The 20,636-nt window shown below is 38.0% G+C and overlaps 1 protein-coding gene and 1 pseudogene across 8 annotated transcripts in view; both read left to right on the top strand.

The window, feature by feature from the left end:
• EDA (ectodysplasin A) overlaps window positions 1–20,636 on the top strand; it is a 423,360-nt gene that overhangs the window by 39,881 nt on the left and 362,843 nt on the right. The window contains exon 2 of one of the 8 annotated variants that reach the window (NM_001005613.4): window positions 14,217–14,300. The exons of the other annotated variants lie outside the window; for them this stretch is intronic. Within the exon in view, the coding sequence (NP_001005613.1) occupies window positions 14,217–14,267 (51 nt within the window). The 3' untranslated portion in view covers window positions 14,268–14,300. The remainder of the gene's footprint in view (window positions 1–14,216; window positions 14,301–20,636) is intronic. 8 annotated transcript variants of the gene reach the window in all.
• On the top strand, window positions 16,486–16,604 carry RNA5SP506 (RNA, 5S ribosomal pseudogene 506; annotated as a pseudogene).

Genomic DNA, 20,636 nt, shown 5'->3' on the forward strand with positions numbered 1-20,636 from the left:
CTACTGCCAATTTAGGCAAAATTACCCTTGTCTTTCCCTCCTAATTTCTCAAGCTCACCATTTGTCAGATATATGCCTTGTCTGTGCCTCTCAGGTAACTCAGTATTTGAGGAAATCTAGGTCTACAGCTGACCTCACAAATTCCACCTGTGCAGTACTGTGTGCACATCAAGTGTTCAAATGCTATTTCCTGACTAAAACCTATATTGAGGCATTTTTGAGCCTTTCACAATGCTCCTTAGTCCTATTAATCTAATCTTCAGAAATCTCTGTCACATACTTTTCTATTACTACTGCCAGCACTCTAAGTCAGACCACCTGCAATGCATATACCATCAACTCCTTTTCTCTCCCTCACTTCTTTTTATTCACTTGGCAAAGTCAAAATCACAATTCTAATAACATTCTGCCTCCTTGGTGCTTTTACCCATGCAATAAAAGTGGCTGGAAAAAAACAGATGACTACACTGCCTGATCTCACTTTATGTATATATGTATGTATGTATGCATGCATTTATGTATTTTAGATTCAGGGGGGACATGTGCAGTTTTCTTATATAGGTATATTGCAGGATGCTGAGGCCTGGGGTATGATTTATCCCATCACTTAGGTAGCGAGCATAGTACTCAATAGTTTTTCAACCCCTGCGCTCCTCCCTCCCCCAGCATTCAGTAGTCCCCAGTGTCTATTGTGGCCATCTTTAGTTCCATGTGTACCCAATGTTTCACTGTCACTACAAGTGAGAACACGTGGTATTTGGTTTTCTGTTCCTGCATTAGTTTGCTTAGGATAATGGCCTCCAACTGCATCCATGTTGTTGCAAAAGGCATGATTTCATTCTTTTTTATGGCTACATAGTATTCCGTGGTGTATAGGTACCACATTTTCTTTACCCAATCCACTGTTGATGGGCACCTGGGTTGAGTCCATGTCTTAGCTATTGTGAATAGTGCTGCAATGAATATATGTGTGCATTTGTCTTTTTGGTAGAATGATTTATTTTTCTTTGGGTATATACCCAGTAATAAGATTGCTGGGTTGAATGGTAATTCTATTTTGATTTCTTTGAGAAGTCTTCTAACTGCATTTCACAGGGGCTGAACTAATTTGCATTCCCACCAACAGTGTATAAGTGTTCACTTTTCTCTGCAATCTCACCAACATGTTTGTTTGCTTACTTTATAATAAAAGCTATTCCGATTGGTGTGAGATGATACCTTATTGTGGATTTGATTTGCATTTTTCTGGTGATTAGTGATGTTGAGCATTTTTTCATGTTTATTGGCTACTTCTTTTGAGAAGTGTCTGTTCATGTCCTTTGCCCACTTTTTAATGGAGTTACTTGTTTTCTTTTCTTAAATTCCTTATGGATTCTAGATATTAGTCTTTTGTTGGATGCATATTTTGCAGATATTTTCTCTCATTCTGTAGGTTGTCTGTTTACTCTGTTGGTAGTTTCTTTCACTGTGCAGAAGCTCTTTTGTTTAAGTCTCATGTGTCTATTTTTCATTTTGTTGCATTTGCTGTTGGGATCTTCATCATAAATTCCTTGCCTAGGCCAATGTCTAGAAGAGTATTTCCTAGGTTTTCTTCTAGGATTTTATAGTGGGACATCTTACATTTAAGTCTTTAAGCCATCTTGATTTAATTTTTGTACATGGTGAAAGGTAGGGAGTCAAGTTTCATTCTTCTGCATATGGTTAGCCAGTTGTCCCAGCACCATTTATTGAATAGGGTATCCTTTCTCTCCTGTTTACTTTTGTCAACTTTGTCAAAGATCAGTTGGTTGTAGGTATGCAGCTTCATTTCAGGGGTCTCTATTCTGTTCCATTGGCCTGTGGGTCTGTTTTTGTACCATGCTGTTTTGGTTACTGTAGCTTTGTAGTACAGTTTTAAGTCAGGTAATGTGATGCCTCTAGCTTTCTTTTTGCTTAGGATTGCCTTGGCTATTCAAGCTGTTTTTTGGTTCCATATGAAGCTTTGAATAGCTTTTTTTCTAATTCTGTGAAAAATGATATTGGTAATTTGATAGGAATAGCATTGACTCTGTAGATTGCTTTGGGCACTGTGGACATTTTAACAATATTGATTCTTCTAGCCCATGAGCATGGAATGCTTTTTTGTTTGCTTGTGTCATCTCTGAATTCCTTTAGTAGTATTTTGTAGGTCTCCTCATAGAGATATTTTACCTTCTTGGTTAGCTGTACTCCTAGGTATTTGTGTGTGTGTGTGTGTGTGTGTGTGTGTGTGTGTGTGTATTGTAAATGGAATTGCATTCTTGATTTGGCTCTCAGCTTGAACATTATTAGTGTGTGGAAATGCTACTGATCTTTGTGCATTGATTTTGTATCCTGAGACTTTGCTGAGGTCTTATCAGATCTAGGAGTCTTTTGGCAGAATCTTTAGAGTTTTCTAGGTATTGAATCATATTGTCAGCAACAAGAGATAATTTGACTTACTCTTTTTCTATTGGGATGCCTTTTATTTCTTTCTCTCACTTTGAATTCATGAATGTAGAACTCAAGTTAGACCTTTATGCAGCCTTTCTAGTTCATTCATTCCCTTCCTTTTTAAGATTTTGTCATACTTTCTTCTCAAACTCTCAACATCACTGCCCACATGCTCACTTTCAACAGAGAACTCTGCTTCCTATGTTTGCATGGTACTAAAGAGTTTACAAAGTACTTTTGCATGCCTTTTCTGATTCTATCTCTCCCTCTTCTGCCCTTGGAAATTGCTAGTTTAAGCAGTATTCTTCTTTAGAGCAAATAACTCTTGGTTCTTCAGTTGATTCTAGTATCTAGTTTACCTCTCCTAACCATTTAAGCTGCGCAGATCAACCTGTGCTTGCATTTCGCAGTCTGTAAAAGGAGGATCCTTACACCTACCATTTTCACTTACAGGAACATTGTATAAGCATTTGTCTTTACTCTGATTCTTTTTAAGTCTTCGACTACAAAGAAACTGATTTTCCATCCACACCCACAGCAATACAAAAGATAACCTCCCTGGACTGGAGATTCAGTGATTATTTTTTGACTCCAAAGTGTCTGATCTGCAGTTTGATAATCAAGAAAAATCCATTTTTATCGTGGCCTAGACTAGCTTCTAGTCTAAATATTAGTGTGCTCTGTTTTAATATTTCTCCATGTATTAAATCAGAGTTTTCAGAGCAAATAAAATAAGGATGAGCTTTAATTTTCTAAAAGTATTTCTTTACTAAAGGATTCCTTTTGGGTTGAACAGGTTCTTGGTAGATTTTAAATGAGTTGACTGATACAAATTCAGTTTATACTACATTTCGGGAACATCCTTTTGTTAACAATGAGCTACATTTGTACAGGCAGTCCCCAATTTTCACCACAGTGGTATTCCTGGGAACTGTTATAAAACAGATCATATTTTCCTACAGGAACAATATTACTATTGGGGTTTGTGTTCCTGACCAAAGATGTAGCATCAAATAAATCATAAATATAATCAACAATGTGACATGAAAGCAAAGATATAGGAACTAGAAATCTATAATCATTTTAAGTAGTTAAAAATTACACTCCAAATCCTACAAAATGGACACAAATATGGCATATGCAATCATTACACAAATGACACCAATGCATTAGAAAGTGTGCGTAATGCCCTTAAAATGCAACCCAATTTTACAGTAAATTTTACCAAAAATAACCTGCTAGTCACAAGGGATCTATTTGTAGTAATAAATTCTTTCTTTTTGCTATCTTGTAATACAAAAATTCTTGTGGTGTTGGAGGCAGTGTATGGTCTAAATGATCTGACTTTGTTCCCAAACCTGGCAGTGCATCAGTCACCTGATGAGCTTTAAAGATGCAGGTTTCTGGGCCTGAACCCCAGAGAATGTCATTGAATAGGACTGTGGGGAGGCCAGGAATGTGTATTTTTAAAAGTTCCCTAGGCGATTCTGACGCACAGCCAAGTTTAGAATCCTAGGCATGGATGTGTCAGTACCTATTTATCTTTCCCATCCCTTTTTTTCAGCAAGCTCATACATTCAGAATCATTCCACCGACCATAACATTTGTGCTGGTAATAGGTTTAATACGTGTTTCCAAGGTGTTTCTTTCATTGAAAAACATTTTAAAAAGTAAAGGCTGTCTTGAAGTTTGAAAAACATTTTAGTAAGTGAGGATGAAGTCCACATTTCTCTACTCACCCACTCCTATATGTAGCTTTGAATAGGCTTAGGTATTAAATCATGTCTTAGGAAGTGACAGTTTTTTTGACAGCCATCAGAGTTCTTTGTAGTTGATTGGGAATCAAGAAGAATTGCTAGGTCATTAATCCCTAGTATTTTTTTTAATTTTAAAAAATTTATTCTTTTTTTATTATACTTTAAGTTCTAGGGTACATGTGCACAATGTGCAGGTTTGTTACATATGTATACATGTGCCATGTTGGTGTGCTGCACCCATTAACTCGTCATTTACATTAGGTATATCTCCTAATGCTATCCCTCCCCACTCCCCCCACCCCACAACAGGCCCCGGTGTGTGATGTTCCCCACCCTGTGTCCAAGTGTTCTCATTGTTCAATTCCCACCTATGAGTGAGTACATGTGGTGTTTGGTTTTCTGTCATTGCGATAGTTTGCTGAGAATGATGGTTTCCAGCTTCATCCATGTCCCTACAAAGGGCAGGAACTCATCCTTTTTTATGGCTGCATAGTATTCCACGGTGTATATGTGCCACATTTTCTTAATCTAGTCTATCATTGGTGGACATTTGTGTTGGTTCCAAGTCTTTGCTATTGTGAATAGTGCCGCAATAAACATACGTGTGCATGTGTCTTTATAGCAGCATGATTTATAATCCTTTGGGTATATACCTATCCAGTAATGGGATGGCTGGGTCAAATGGTATTTCTAGTTCTAGATCCTTGAGGAATCGCCACACTGTCTTCCACAATGGTTGAACTAGTTTACAGTCCCACCAACAGTGTAAAAGTGTTCCTATTTTTCCACATCCTCTCCAGCACCTGTTGTTTCCTGACTTTTTAATGATCGCCACTCTAACTGGTGTGAGATGGTATCTCATGGTGGTTTTGATTTGCATTTCTCTGATGGCCAGTGATGATGAGCATTTTTTCATGTGTTTTTTGGCTGCATAAATGTCTTCTTTTGAGAAGTGTCTGTTCATATCCTTTGCCCACTTTTTGATGGGGTTGTTTGATTTTTTCTTGTAAATTTGTTTAAATTCTTCATAGATTCTGGATATTAGCCCTTTGTCAGATGGGTAGATTGTAAAAATTTTCTCCCACTCTGTAGGTTGCCTCTTCACTCTGATGGTAGTTTCTTTTGCTGTGCAGAAGCTCTTTAGTTTAATTAGATCCCATTTGTCAATTTTGGCTTTTGTTGCCATTGCTTTTGGTGTTTTAGACATGAAGTCCTTGCCCATGCCTATGTCCTGAATGGTATTGCCTAGGTTTTCTTCTAGGGTTTTTATGGTTTTAGGTCTAAGATTTGAGTCTTTAATCCATTTAGAATTAATTTTTGTATATGGTGTAAGGAAGGGATCCAGTTTTAGCTTTCTATATATGGCTAGCCAGTTCTCCCAGCACCATTTATTGAATAGGGAATCCTTTACCCATTTCTTGTTTTTGTCAGGTTTGTCAAAGATCAGATGGTTGTAGATGTGTGGTATTATTTCTGAGGGCTCTGTTCTGTTCCCTTGGTCTATATCTCTGTTTTGGTACCAGTACCATGCTGTTTTGGTTACTGTAGCCTTGTAGTATAGTTTGAAGTCAGGTAGTGTGATGCCTCCAGCTTTGTTCTTTTGGCTTAGGATTAATCACTAGTATTTTTTAAAAAATACATTTCATTGTGTATATTTAAGGTATACAACATAATGTTATGGGATACATATACATAGTAAAAAGATAATTACAGTGAAACAAACTAATGTATCCATCATCTCACATAGTTACCTATTTTTTTGTTTCTGTAGCAAGAGCAGCTAAAATTTACTTATTTAGCATGAATCCCAAATACAGTACAATTTTATTACATATACTCCTCATGTTGTACATTAGATCTCTAGACTTGTTTATCCTATATATCTGCTATTTGTTATCCTCTGACCTACATACATCTCTCCATTTTCTCCCTCAAGCCCCCACCCATAGTAATCACTGTTGTGTTCTCTATCTTCATATGTTTGAATTTTTAAGATTCTGCATATAAGTGATGTCATGTGATATGGTTTGGCTGTGTCCCCACCCAAATCTCATCTTGAATTGTAGCTCCCATAATTCCCACATATCATGGGAGGAACCTGGTGGAAGGCAATTGAATTGTGGTGGAGGTCTTTCCTGTGCTGTTCTCATGATAGTGAGTTCTCATGAGATCTGATGGTTTTATAAAGGGGAGTTCCCCTGCACATGCCTTCTCTTGCCTGCTGCAATGTAAGATGTGTCTTGCTTCTCCTTCACCATCTGCCATGATTGTGAGGCCTCCCAGCCATGTGAAACTGTGAGTCCATTAAACCTCTTTCCTTTATAAATTACCCAGTCTCAGATATGTCTTTATTAGCAGCGTGAAAACAGACTAATACAGTAAATTGGCACCGAGGTAGTGGGACATTGCTGTAAAGATACCCAAAAATGTGGAAGCGTCTTTAGAACTGGGTATCAGGCAGAGGTTGGAACAGTTTAGAGCACTCAGAAGAAGTCAGGAAAATATGGGAAAGTTTGGAACTTCCTAGAGACTTGTTGAATGGCTTTAACCAAAATGCTGATAGTGATATGGACAAAAAAAGTTCAGGCTGAAGTGGTCTCAGATGGAGATGAGGAACTTGTTGGGAACTGGAGCAAAGATGACTCTTGCTATGTTTTAACACAGAGACTGATGGCATATTGCCCCTGCCCTAGAGATGTGTGGAACTTTGAACTTGAGAAAATTCTAGGAAGAAATTTCTAAGCAGTAAAGCATTCAAGAAGTGACTTGGATACTGTTAAAAGCATTCAGTTTTATGTATTCACAAAGATATGGTTTGGAATTGGAACTTATGTTTAAAAGGGAAGCAGAGCATAAAAGTTTGGAAAATTTGTAGCTGGATGATGCGACAGAAAATAAAAACCCATTTTCTGAGGAGAAATTCAAGCTGGCTGCAGAAATTTACATAAGTAATGAGGAGCCAAATGTTAATTGCCAAGACAATAGGGGAAATGTCTCCAGGGTATGTCAGAGGTTTCCACGGCAGCCCCTGCCCTCACAAGCCCAAGGCATAAGAGGAAAAATTGGTTTCGTGAGCCTGGGTCCAGGGATCCCCCTGCTGTATGTGCAGCCCAGGGACTTGGTGTCCTGTGTCCCAGCTGCTTCAGCTGTGGCTAAAAGGGGCCAAGGTACAACTCGGCCTGTGACTTCAGAGGGTGCAAGCCCCAATTTTTGGCAGCTTCCATGTGGTATTGAGCCTGCGGATGCACAGAAGTCAAGAATTGAAGTTTGGAGGCCTCTGCCTAGATTTCAGAGGATGTATGGAAATGCCTGGATGTCCAGGCAAAGATTGCTGCAGCAGTGGGGCCTTCATGGAGAACCTCTGCTAGGGCAGTGCAGAAGGGAAATGTGGGGTGCAAGCCCTCAGCCAGAATCCTTACTGGGGCACTGCCTGGTGGAGCTATGAGAAGGCCACTGTCCTCCAGACCCCAGAATTGTAGATCTACTGACAGCTTGTACTGTGTACCTAGAAAAGCCACAGACACTCAACGCCACCCTGTTAAAGCAGCCAGGAGGGGGCTGTACCCTGCAAAGCCACAGGGGTGGAGCTGCCCAAGGCCATGGGAGCCCACCTCTTGCATCAGCGTTACCTGGATGTGAGACATGGAATTCAAAGGAGATAATTTTGGAGCTCTAAGATTTAACTGCCCTGCTAGATTTTGGACTTGCATGAGGCCTGAAGCCCCTTCGTTTTGGCCATTTCTTCTATTTGGAATGAGTATATTTACCCAATGCCTGTACCCCCACTGTATCTGGGAAGTAACTAACTTGCTTTTGATTTTACAGGCTCATATGCAAAAGGGACTTGCCTTGTGTCAAATGAGACTTTGATCTGTGGACTTTTGAGTTAATGCTGAAATGAGTTAAGACTTTAGGGGACTGTTGGGAAAGCATGATTGGTTTTGAAATGTGAGGACATGAGATTTGGGAAGGGCCAACGGTGGAATGATATGGTTTGGCTGTGTCGCCACCCAAATCTCATCTTGAATTGTAGCTCTTATAATTCCCACGTGTCATGGGAGGGACCCTGTAGGAGGTATTTGAATCAAGGGGCGTGTCTTTTCCACGCTGTTCTCTTGATAGTAAGTGAGTTTTCGTGAGATCTGATGATTTTATAAAGGGGAGATCCCCTGCACATGCCCTCTCTTGCCTGCTGCCATGTAAGACATGTCTTGCTTGCCCTTTGCCTTCCACCATGATTGTGAGGCCTCCCCTGCCATGTGGAACTATGAGTCAATTAAACCCTTTTCCTTTATAAATTACTCGTCCTTATGTCTTTATTAGCAGCATGAGAACACCTAATACATCATGCAATATTTTTCTTTCTGTGTCTGGCTTATTTCACTTAGCATAATGTCCTCCAGGCTTATCCATGTTGTGGCAAATGGCAAGATCTCATTTCTTTTTAGGCCAAATAATATTTCATTGTGTGTGTGTGTGTGTGTGTGTTACACACTATAGTTTCTTTATCCATTTGTCCATTGATGAACATTTAAGTTGTTTCCATATCTTGGCTATTGTGAACAATGCTGCAGCGAACATGAGAGTGCAGATATCTTTATGAGGTGGTGATTTCATTGCTTTTGGGTATATGCCCAGAGAGGGTCATATGGTAGTTCTATTTTTAATTTATTTAGAAACCTCTGTATTGTTTTCCATAATGGTCATACCAATCTACATCCCTACCAGCAGTGTACAAGAGTTCTCTTTTCTCCATGCCTGTGGCAACATTGTTATCTTTTGACTTTTTGATAATAGCCATTCTAGTGGGTGTGAAGTGGTATCTCATAGTGGCTTTGATTTGCCTTTCCCTGGTGACTAATGATGTAGAGCATTTTTTCATATGCTCATTGGAGATTTTTATGTATTCTTTAAAGAAATGTCTATTCAGGTCTTCTGACCATTTTGTAGTTAGGTGTTTGTTTTTCTGCTATTGAGTTGTATGAGTTCTTTATACATTTTGGATGTTAATCTCTTGTCAGATATATGATTTGCAAATATTTTCTCCCAATACATAGACTGCCATTTCATTTTGTTGATTGTTTCCTTTTCTGTGCAGAAGCTTTTTAGTTTGTTGTAGTCTCATTTATTTAATTTTCCTTTTGTGGCTTGAGCTTTTAGTGTGATATGTAAAAAATCATTGTCAAGGCCAACATCCAGGAGCTTTTCTCTTATATTCCCTTCAAAAAGTTTTATAATCTCTGGTCTTACATTTAGGTCTTTTATCCATTTGAATTTATTATGGTATAAGCTAAAGATTCAATTTTATTCTTTTGCACGTGGAAATCCAGTTTTTCTAGCACCATTTATTGAAGAGACTACCCTTTCCCCATTGTGTTCTCTTGGTGCCGTTGTCACAAAGTAATTGACTGTATATGTTTGGATTTTTTCCTGGGCGCTCTATTCTGTTTCACTGGTCTATGTGTCTGTTTTTATGCCAGAACAATACCATTTTGATTACTATAGGTTTGTAATATAATAAATTATATAATATAATCAGGAAGTATGATGCCTCCAATTTTGTTTTCCTTTCTCAGAATTGTTTTGTTTATTCAAGGTCTTTTATGTTTCCATACAAATTTTAGGATAGTTTTTGCTATTTCTGTGAACAATGCCATTGGGATTTTGATTGGGATTGCACTGAATCAGTATATTATTTTGGATAGTATGGACATTTCATCAATATTAATTTTTCCAATCGATGAGCATGGGATATCTTTCCATTTATTGGTATCTTTTTCAGTTTATTTCATCAGTGTTTTGCAGTTTTGGGTATACATATCTTTCACCTCATTGGTTAAATTTATTAAGTATGTTTTCGATGCTATCATAAATGGGATTGTTTATTTCTTTTTCAGTTAGGTAATTATTTTTGTATAAAAATGTTACTTTTTTTGTATGTTGATTTTGTATCCTGCAACTTTACTGAATTCATTTATTAGTTCTAACAGTTTTTTATGGACTTGGGGTTTTTTACATATAAGATCATCTCATCTGCAAATAGAGATAATTTTACTTCTTCCTTTCTTATTTGGGTATCTTTTGTTTCTTTTTCTTGTCTGATTGTTCTGTCTAGTACTTTCAGTACTATGTTGAATAGAGGTGGTGGGAGTAGGCATTCCTGCCTTGTATCACATTGTAGTGGACAAGCTGTAAGTTTCTCCTTATTGATTATAAGGTTAGCTGTGGGTTTTTCATAAAATGGCCTTACATTATGTTGAGGAACATTAATACCTAAACTTTTGAAAGTTTTTGTCAAAAAAGGATGTTGGGCTTTTTTGAATGCTTTTTCTGCATCAATTGAGATGATCATGTGGTTTTTATCTTTCATTTTGTTAATGTCATATGTATCACATGGATTGATTTGCTTATGTTAAACCAGTCTTGCATAACAGGGATAATTCCCACTTGGTCAGCTTATATAATCTTTTTGATGTATTGTTGGATTTTGTTTCCTAATATTTTATTGAGGAGTTTTTGCATTAATATTCATCAGTAGCCTTTAGTTTTCTTTTCTTGTGATGTCTTTATCAAGCTTAAGAATTCAGGTGATGCTGGCCTCATAACATGTGTTGGAAAGTATTCCTGCTAGCTCTGTTTTTAGAAGAGTTTAAGAAGTATTGGTGTTAATTCTTCTTTGAGTGTTTGGTAGAATTTAGTCATGAAGCTACCTGGTTTTGGGTGTTTCTTTGTTGTGAGATTTTTAATTACTTCTTTAATCTGTTTATTTGTTATTAGTCTGTTCAAGCTTTCTATTTCTTCCTGACTCAATCTTGGTAGGTTGTATTTTTCTAGGAATTTATTTATTTCCTCTAGGTTATCCAATTCGTTGGCATATAATTGTTCATAATAGTCTCTTTTAATTTCTTTTTCTTTTTCTTTTTTTTTTTTTTTTGAAATGGAGTCTCGCTCTGTCGCCCAGGCTGGAGTGCAGTGGTGCGATCTTGGCTCAAGCTTTGCCTCCCAGGTTCATGCCATTCTCCTGCCTCAGCCTCCTGAGTAGCTGAGACTACAGGCGCCCACCACCACGCCCAGCTAATTTTTTTTTATTTTTAGTAGAGACAGGGTTTCACCATGTTAGCCAGGATGGTCTCGATCTCCTGATCTCGTGATCCTCCCACCTCGACCTCCCATAGTGTTGGGATTACAGGCGTGAGCCACCGTGCCTGGCCGTCTCTTTTAATTTCTTAAGTGTCTTATAATTTTTTCACTTTCACTTTCATTCTATTTGAGCCTTTTCTATTTTTGTCTTAGACTGGCTAAGGATTTGTTAATATTGTTTATTTTTTTCAAACAACCAACTCTTAGTTTTATTGATTTTTTCTATGATTTTTCTGTTCTCTGTTTATTTCTGTTCTGATTTTTATGATTTCTTTCCTTCTTCTAATTTTGGGTTTAGTTTGTGCTTCTTTTATTAGTTACTTAAGGCATAATGTTAGACTATTTATTTGGGACCTGTCTTAATTCATTTTGTGTTGCTATAACTGAATACCACAGACTGCGCAATTTATAAGAAAAGATAAATGTTTCTTGTAGTTCTGGAGGCTGGGAAGTCCAAGATTGAGGGGCCTGCATCTGGCGAGGGCCTTCTTGCTGTGTCACTCCATGGCAGAAGGTGGAAGGACAAAAAAGTATGAGAGAGCAAGATGGGGCCAAACTGGCTTTTATAACAAGCCCACTCTCACAATAACTAATTCACTCTCACAGTAATAACAACCTATTCATGAGGGCAAAGTCCTCATTACCTAGTCATCTCTTGTTAGGCCCACCTCCCATCACTGTTGCATTGGGGACTAAGTTTCTAACACCATGAACTTTGAAGGACACATTCAAACAATATCAGGATCCTTCTTCATTTTTAATGTAGGCATTTATTGCTATAAATTCCCTTTTAGAACTGATTTTGCCATATCCCATAGGTTTTGGTGTGTTGTGTTTTCATTATCGCTTGTCTCAAGATATTTTCAAATTGCCCTTTTGATTTCTTCTTTGATCCAGGGCATGTTTAGTTATTTGTGAATTTTCCAAGATTTCTTACTGTTATTGATTTCTAGTTTTTTTATAATTATGGTCTAAAGTGACACTAGATATGATTTCAATCTTTCTCAATTTATTAAGACTTGTTTTGTGGCCTAACATGGCCTATCCTGGAGAATGTTCCATGTGCATTAGAGAAAAATGTATATTCAGCTGCTCTTGGATGGAAAGGTTTTTTTATACATTTGTTAGGCCCATTTGATCAGAAGTACAATTTAAATCCAGTATTTCCTTATGAATTTTCTGTCTGGTTGATCTACCCATTGATCTACCCATTGAAGAAAGTGAGATACTGAAGTTCCCTACTATTTTTTTTGGAGATGGAGTCTCACCCTGTCACCCAGGCTGGAGTGCAATGGCGTGATCTTGGCTCACTGCAACCTCCACCTCCCAGGTTTAAATGATTCTCCTGCCTCAGCCTCCCGAGTAGCTGGGATTATAGGTGTCCACCACCACGCCCAGCTAATTTTTGTATTTTGAGTAGATGGGGTTTCACCGTGTTAGCCAGGATGAACTCTTGATCTCATGATCTGCCCACCTTGGCCTCCCAAAGTGCTGGGATTACAGGCTTGAGCCACCACGCCCAGCCTGAAGTTCCCTACTATTATTGTATTGCTATCGATTTCTCCTTTTATGTCCATTCATATTTACTTTATGTATTTAGGTGCTCCAATGTTAGATTCCTATATATTTATAATTGTTATGTTTTCTTGATGAATTGACTTCTTTATCATTAAACAATGACCTTCTGTGTTTCTTGTAAAAATTTTTGACTGGAAGTCTGTTTTGTCAGATATAAAGATATAAGCACAGCCACTTTGCTCTCTTTTGGTTACCATTTGTGTAGAATAGCTTTTCCCATTCCTTTGCTTTCAGCCTATGGCCTTAAAGCTTAAGTGGGTACCCCATAGACACCATATAGTTGGACCTTTTTTTTTTTTAATCCATTCGACTACTCTATGTCTTTTGATTGGAGAAGTTAATTCACTTACATTCAAGGTTATTATTAATAGGTAAAGACTTACTACTGCCATTTTGTTTATTATTTATGGTTGTTTTTTAGCTTCTTTGTTCCTTTCTTTCTCTGTTGTCTATCTTTGTGATTTGATACTTTTCTTAGTGCTGAACTTTGAGTCCTCTCTGTTTATCATTTGTATATCTGCTGTAGGTTTTTGTTTTATGTTTACCGTGATGCTTACATAAAACATCTTATAGTTATAATAAACTATTTTAAGCTAATTTCAACTTCTATCACATGCAGAAACTAGACTTTTACCTTCGTTTTCCACAATTTATATTTTTGATGTAACAATTTACATCTTTTTATATTGGGTATTTTTAACAACATTATAATTTTAGTTATTGTTAACCATCTTTTTTTCTTTTTCTTTTTCTTTTCAACTTTTATTTTAGATTCACATGGTACATGTGTAGGTTTGTTAACTGGGAATATTGCATGATGCTGAGGTTTGGGGTATGAATGATTCTATCACCCAAGCACTGAGCATAGTACCTAATAGTTAATTTTTCAACCCTTGCCCCCTACCCCATTCCCTTCTCTAATTGTTCCCAGTTTCTATTGTTGCTATCTTTATGTCTATGAGTTGTTCACTGTTTTGACTTATAACCATACTAGAGTTATGTATGATTTACACACCATTACAACAGTATTGGAATATTCTGGATTTGAGTATGTATTTACCTCTACCAGTAAGTTTTAGATTTTCATATGTGTTCATAATAGTAATTATCTTCTTTATGTTTCAACTTGAAGAACTTCCTTAAGCATTTCTTGTAGGGCAGGTCCAGTGGTGATGAATTCCTTAAATTTTTTCTTGTCTGGGAAAAACTGTCTCCTTCATTTCTGAATGACAGACTTGCTGGGTATAGTATTCTTGGCTGACTGTTTTTTTTTTTTTTTTTTTCTTTCAGGACTTTGACTACATCATTTCATTCTCTTATGGCCTACAAGGTTTCTGCTGAGAAATCCACTGATATTCTAATGGATATTCCTTTGTATGTGACTTGACATTTTTCTCTTGCTGGTTTTAAAGTTTTCTCTTTGACTTTTGACAGTTTGATGATAGTGTACCTTAGAGAGGGCCCCTTTGGGTAGTAACTGTTTGCGAACTTTTGAGCTTTGTGAATCTGGATGTTGATATCTCTCCCAAGACTTCGGAAGTTGTCAGCAATTGTTTCATTAAATAATATTTCTGTCCCTTTCTCTATCTCTTCTCCTTTGAAAATCCCATAATGTGAAAGTTTGTTTAATGTTTGCTTAATGATGCTCCTTAAGTCCCATAGGCTGTTTTCACTCTTTTTCATTCCTTTTATTTTTACTGAGTCATTTCAAAAAAAAAACCACCATCTTCAGGTTGACAGATTCTTTCTTCTGTTTGATCTAGTCTGCTATTGAAGTTCTCTCTATTGTATTTTTTTAATTTTGCTGATTGAACTTTTCAGCTCCAGGATTTATTTTTGGTTCTTTTTAATGATATCTATCTCTTTGTTGAATTTATCACTCAGATCATAAATTATTCTCCAATTTCATTGAATTGTTTCTATATCTTCTGTGGTATCTTGCTGAATTTCCTTAACATTAATATTTTGAACTCATTTTCAGGTAATTTGTAAGTTTACATTTATTTGGGGTTAATTATTGGAGAATTATTCCATTCCTCTGGTAGTATCATGCTTCCTTGCTTTTTCATGTTTTTTGTGTGTGTCCCTGCGTTGATGGCTGTGCATCAGTTGGTGTAGTCACCTCTTCCAAACTTTACAGAGTGGTTTTTGTATGGGAAGACATTCACCTGAAGATGGGCCTGAGGGTGACAATTGAGCAGACTATGGTGACTCTCATTCCATGTGGGCACAATGGTGTAGTCTTTGTGCAGCTTATTTAGTTGTAATCAATGTCTATGAAGACTGCAGAAGCCTCAGTAGTCTAGGCTACTGGAGTTTGTTGCAGTGATGGTGGCTTCATAGGTTATTAGGGCAACAGCTTTAGGGATCCTCCTGGTCTTACTTTTCCCACAGTGGGGTGTCTGAGCTGTGGGTATCTGTGTTGGTGTCAGATCTGACATGGCCAATAGGCAGCCACAGTGGTACTTAGATCCAGGGCACAGGTGCTCAGAGCAGCTGTGAAGGTGATTTCCTGGGTGCAGGGTCTTGTGAAACTATGGTAGCACACAAAACTTGAGGCATATGTTCACTCTCCAAGGCATGAATGACTGCAGTTTTCCCACTAACCAGGGACTGTTGCTCTGTGGCACACTTCAGAAGGTTGGGTCCAGGGGACTGTGATATAGCTGTGGTTCTGACCAGCTAATTCCAAGCTGGTTCCAAGCTGATTCTGAATGGGGGAATAGGGTGGCAGAGGCAAGGTGTTTCTTTCCCTTCCCTAAGCAGCCATCCTGGGTTTGTGTGCTCTATAGGTTTTCTGCTGCTTCTTTGATGTTCTCTGGTGCTCTCCTTTAGTCATTTCTGTCAAAAATGTAGTCATTTATTCATTGTTTTGTTTTTATGTGTGTGTGGTAGACAAAACAGTACTGGGAACTTCTCTTTGGCCATCTTGCTAATGTCATTCTTTTTTTCCTCTCAATCACTAGTCTTTTCAAAAGAAACTCCATGTGTCACCTATTAGAGACACTTATATAAAGTTTTTATTCTCCTAGTAGATTGAAAGCTCCATGAAGCCAAAGACCAGGTCTTAAATATCCCCTATTTTTGCCCGTAAATCCTAATACATTGAAGGAACTCAGTAAATATTTATTTATTGAACAGTGAATAATAGCACTTCTGCCAATTGGTAAGATGGGCATAAAATGGTATTTCCTGACTACTGCTTGTTCACTTTTGAGAAAATTCTTCCCTGTATAGTTTGCATTCATAGGTCTGGATATGTGAATGTAAGTTTTAGAGTTGTGGGGGGGACTTAGGTCATGTTATACACCTACCATGTTTTTAAATGGGAAACCTGAGGTTTTGTTTAAGGTTACCATGCCAGGTTTTTCTCCATTTCATATTTTTCTTTTTATCCATTTATCACATTTGAGTACCTGCTGTGTATGAGCCCCAAAAAGCAAATGGTCCATTTCCTTTATGAAGTAAGAGGCAAGGTCATTTTCTGAAAAGGGTGGAGCTGGGGAATAGTGCTCTGGAGGATTGAGAAGATTGGAGAATTTTTAAAAGTTATGGCAGAGTCTACGGCCATACCACCCTGAATGAGCCTGATCTCGTCTGATCTTGGAAGCTAAGCAGGGTCGGGCCTGGTTAGTACTTGGATGGGAGACCACCTGGGAATACCGGGTGCTGTAGGCTTTGGCCGGGCGTGGTGGCTCACGCCTGTAATGCCAGCACTTTGGGAGGCCGAGGCGGGCGGATCACGAGGTCAGGAGATCGATACCATTTTGGCTAACATGGTGAAACCCCGTCTCTACTAAAAATTCAAAAAAATTAGCCGGGCGTGGTGGTGGGCACCTGTAGTCCCAGCTTCTGAGGAGGCTGAGGCAGGAGAATGGCATGAACCCGGGAGGCAGAGCTTGCAGTGAGCCGAGATTGCGCCACTGCACTCCAGCCTGGGCGACAGAGTGAGACAACGTCTCAAAAAAAAAAAAAAAGTGGCAGAAAGTGAAAAAGAAAACCACAGCAAGATTGGTGAGCAGATTTCAGGAGTCTGCTGCAAGTGATTTTTATTTTATGTATTGAAACACATCTGCCTGTTTTGTTACTTTGCCCTATAACTTGGCTACTGGAGATAAGCACAGAGAAAGTGAACGGTAGGAATGATCAATGGTTAGAATTTGGCCTAGATGAGTACAAAAACATCATTATCATTATCAATAACAATAACATCATCATAGTGAGTTCAGAGGTTTTGTGGTTTTGGCAAGAGTGTAACAGCATTGATACATTATGGAACCTAAGCTGGATAGGGAAGGAAGTGAAGAAAATTTTGATTAATAGGGAGAAAGTAGAGGAAGAAGGGTCAGTAAACTAGAGGTCTTGATGACCTGAAAGAATAGTGATAGTAGGAATAGTTGAACCAGCAAAGCTGGAAGTTTGTGATCGAGAATTTCATGTTTGAATTAGTGATTTTGGAGATGGAGTAGGAAAGGGTGATGGAAACTTCCAAGGTGTACAGAGTGAGTGGCTCATATGGAATGGAAGGATGAGGTCATTGGAGATGAAGAAGTTAAGGAACGGAAAGGTCAGCATATTCGGTATGCTATACCACACTTTCATGAATTTATCTTCCTTTTAGATGGTAACAAAAATACATCCTACACCCAGGCAATTTTACTGTATTCAAAAAAAAAAAATCATTTAGAAGCAAAGTTATTGGTGTGAGGTGAATATATTCTATAGTCTGAATCAATTCATGAGATCTAATAATGTTCGGTAACTATTTCCTCCATGATCAGTTTTACTATGAAATTTATTGTCTGAATCAAGCTTTGCCTTAGGTGGAGGATGGGGTCTTTATTAGTGTTCACAAGAGACATGTTTAAATGTCAGCTCTAGGACAGCTATTCTAGGCTATTCAAAGTCTATTCTCCAAGGAATTTGAAGAGCTCTCAGAGTGGATATATTAAATTAGCTGTTGCAGTAAGAAAGATGTGGAATTTTCAATCTCTGCCTCTTTGCTATCCCCTTTGTCTTTGGACATGGTCACATTCCCTCATCTAAAAAACATTTCCTGGAACCCTGCTGCCCCGTCAAGCTACCTCTCAACTCTCTTCTTCCTTTCCTTGCTATAAATATTTACTTTTCTCTTTATTTATTGAAAACAGCTAATTTTTATTGAACAATATTGTAGGAAAAGCCTATCTATCTATCTATCTATCTATCTATCTATCTATCTATCTATCATCATAATACATAGCTTTTGTTATTTGGGGTATACTTTTCTCTGTTACATATGTACCTTTTTTTCCCCATAGTTTGAATCACAAACTGTTAAGTCTTATGAGGGTAGAAGGTCTGTCTATTTTGTCTGCCACTATATAGCTAGTATATATGCCTATCACATAGGAGGGACTCCATAATCAAATGTGAAATGAATAAATGGTGTATATTTTAAATTTGTATTTTGATTTTTTCTATTTAACATAAGTATTTCCCTTTTTCTTCAGACTTTATTATATTCAAAAAGTATTTTATTGTTTTAATAGATCATAAATCACTACTTTTTGTAGTTGGACATTTCAAGTATTTTACAATCATTTACTATTACCAACAACAATGTAATGTACAACCTTTAGCATTAATGTATTTGCTTGATATTATTCTTTCATGGAACAATTTTTTAAAAGTTAAATTCCAGGGAGTGGGATTACTGGGCAAAAGTGAGTATTTTCATTCTGGTGAGCTTGTTGAAAGAATTGAATACCTTTTGCCTTCATGTCCTGACTCCTTCCTAAGTGGCTTGGAATTTGGCTCCTTCCTCTACCACTTCAAAGAAATACTTCTTCCAATGGCTTCCTATTTGCCAAATCAGCCTGTTTGTTTTGAGCTTTAAGAACCTTCTTGACTTTTCTTGTAACGTTTAATACTAATTTACTACCACCTTCTACTCTCTTGGCTTCATGACATGTCATTATTTTGGTTCTCTTGTTGCCTCCCTGACTGATGTCCTTCCTTGAACCTCTGAAGTGTAACCTTTCCCAAGGTTCTGTCCTGTCCCCTCCAACACTATTATCTCTGTTTTATTTTTTTCTTTTTTGAAACAGTGTCTTGCTTTGTTGACCAAGCTGCAGTGTAGTGGTGTGACCTTGGCTCATTGAAGCATTGACCTCCAGGCCCAAGAGATCCTCCCACCTCAGCCTCCTGAGTAGCTGGGACCAAAAGCACATGCCACCATGGCCAGCTAATTAAAAAAAATTGTAGAGATGAGGTGTTGCTGTATTGCCCAGGCTGGTCTCAATCTCCCAGGCTGAAGCAATCTGCCCTCCTCAGCCTCCCAAGGTGCAGGGATTATAGGCATGAGCCTCCATGCCTGGTTTCTCTATATATTTTAGTAACTCCCAAATTATTATATCTAGCCCTGACTTCATTCTTAAGCTTCAGATTTGCATTTCATTTCTTGATCTCCCATTAGTGTTCAATATTGTATACTCATCGTGTCTAAAAATGAATTAATTTCCACCCTCCAAATCAGTTCCCTGTAACTATTCCATTTCTGATAATGCTGTTGCCATTCCTAAAATCTGGACACCATGGAGACATTTTGATCCTTCCTCCTCTTTTGCTCCACCTATTCCATTAGTTGCCCTGCTATATGAATTCACTGTCCCTAATTTTTTTTCAAATTTTTTTTCTTAATTGATTCATTCATTTATTTAACAAATATTTATTAAGAACTACCATCTACCAGGTACTATTTATGGAACCAAAGATATAGCAGTGAACATAACAGACAAAAATTCTGGCCCTCACAGAGCCAATAGTCTAGTGGAGGAAGACACACAAGCAGATAAGTAAAATACATAGAATGTCAGATAATACAAAGTTATATGGAGAAAAATTAGGGAAGTTGGAGAGAGAAGGTCAAGACAGGATGTGTATGTATATGTGCACATTTTAAAATTGGGTAGTCCAGGGAAGCTAACTGAGAAGGTGATATTTGAGCAAAGATCTGGAGGCAGTCAGGAAAGAGCCAGGCAAATATGGGAGAGGATAAGGGAGCATTCCAGGCAGAAGAAGTAGCAAATGTAAAGGCCCTCAGATGGGGGAGAACATGAGTGTTCCAGAAATAGCAACATGGCCATTGTGACTGAAGCAGAATGAGTAAAAGGAAGAGTAATAGAGGTGAGGTCAGAGAGGTAAGAGGAGAGGAACAGATCATGTAGGGCTTTGTAGGTCATTGTAAAGACTTTGGCTTTGTGTTATGAGTGAAATAGGAAACCAATGGAGGGGCTTGAGCAAAGGGGTTACCTGATTTGACCTATTTTATTGGTAGGAAAACTTTAGCTGCTGGGTTGAGACTAGACTGTAGCAGGGCAAGGGTAGAAGCAGGAAGTAAGTAAGGGGGCTATTGCAGTAAGTTAGGTGAGAGCTGATGGCTTGGACCAGAGTAGTGGTGGTGAAAGTGGTAAAAGATTGTTGGATTCTGAATTTACTGTTGATTGAACGTGGCATGTGAGAGGAAACAGGGAAGTCAAGGATGTCTTTGAGATTTTGGCCTCAAATGGAAGAATGAGTTTTTCTGTGTGTGTGTGTGTGTGCGCGCGCGCACGTGTGCTTGTGTGTGTGTGTGTGTGTAATCTCTAATTTCTTGGACTCTCAATATATATTTTATTCTGTTCTATACCATACTTAATTTTCACCTGGGCTGTATCAATAATCTTGATA

The sequence above is a fragment of the Homo sapiens genome, chromosome X (genome assembly GCF_000001405.40).
Source record: "Homo sapiens chromosome X, GRCh38.p14 Primary Assembly".
NCBI lineage: Eukaryota > Metazoa > Chordata > Mammalia > Primates > Hominidae > Homo > Homo sapiens.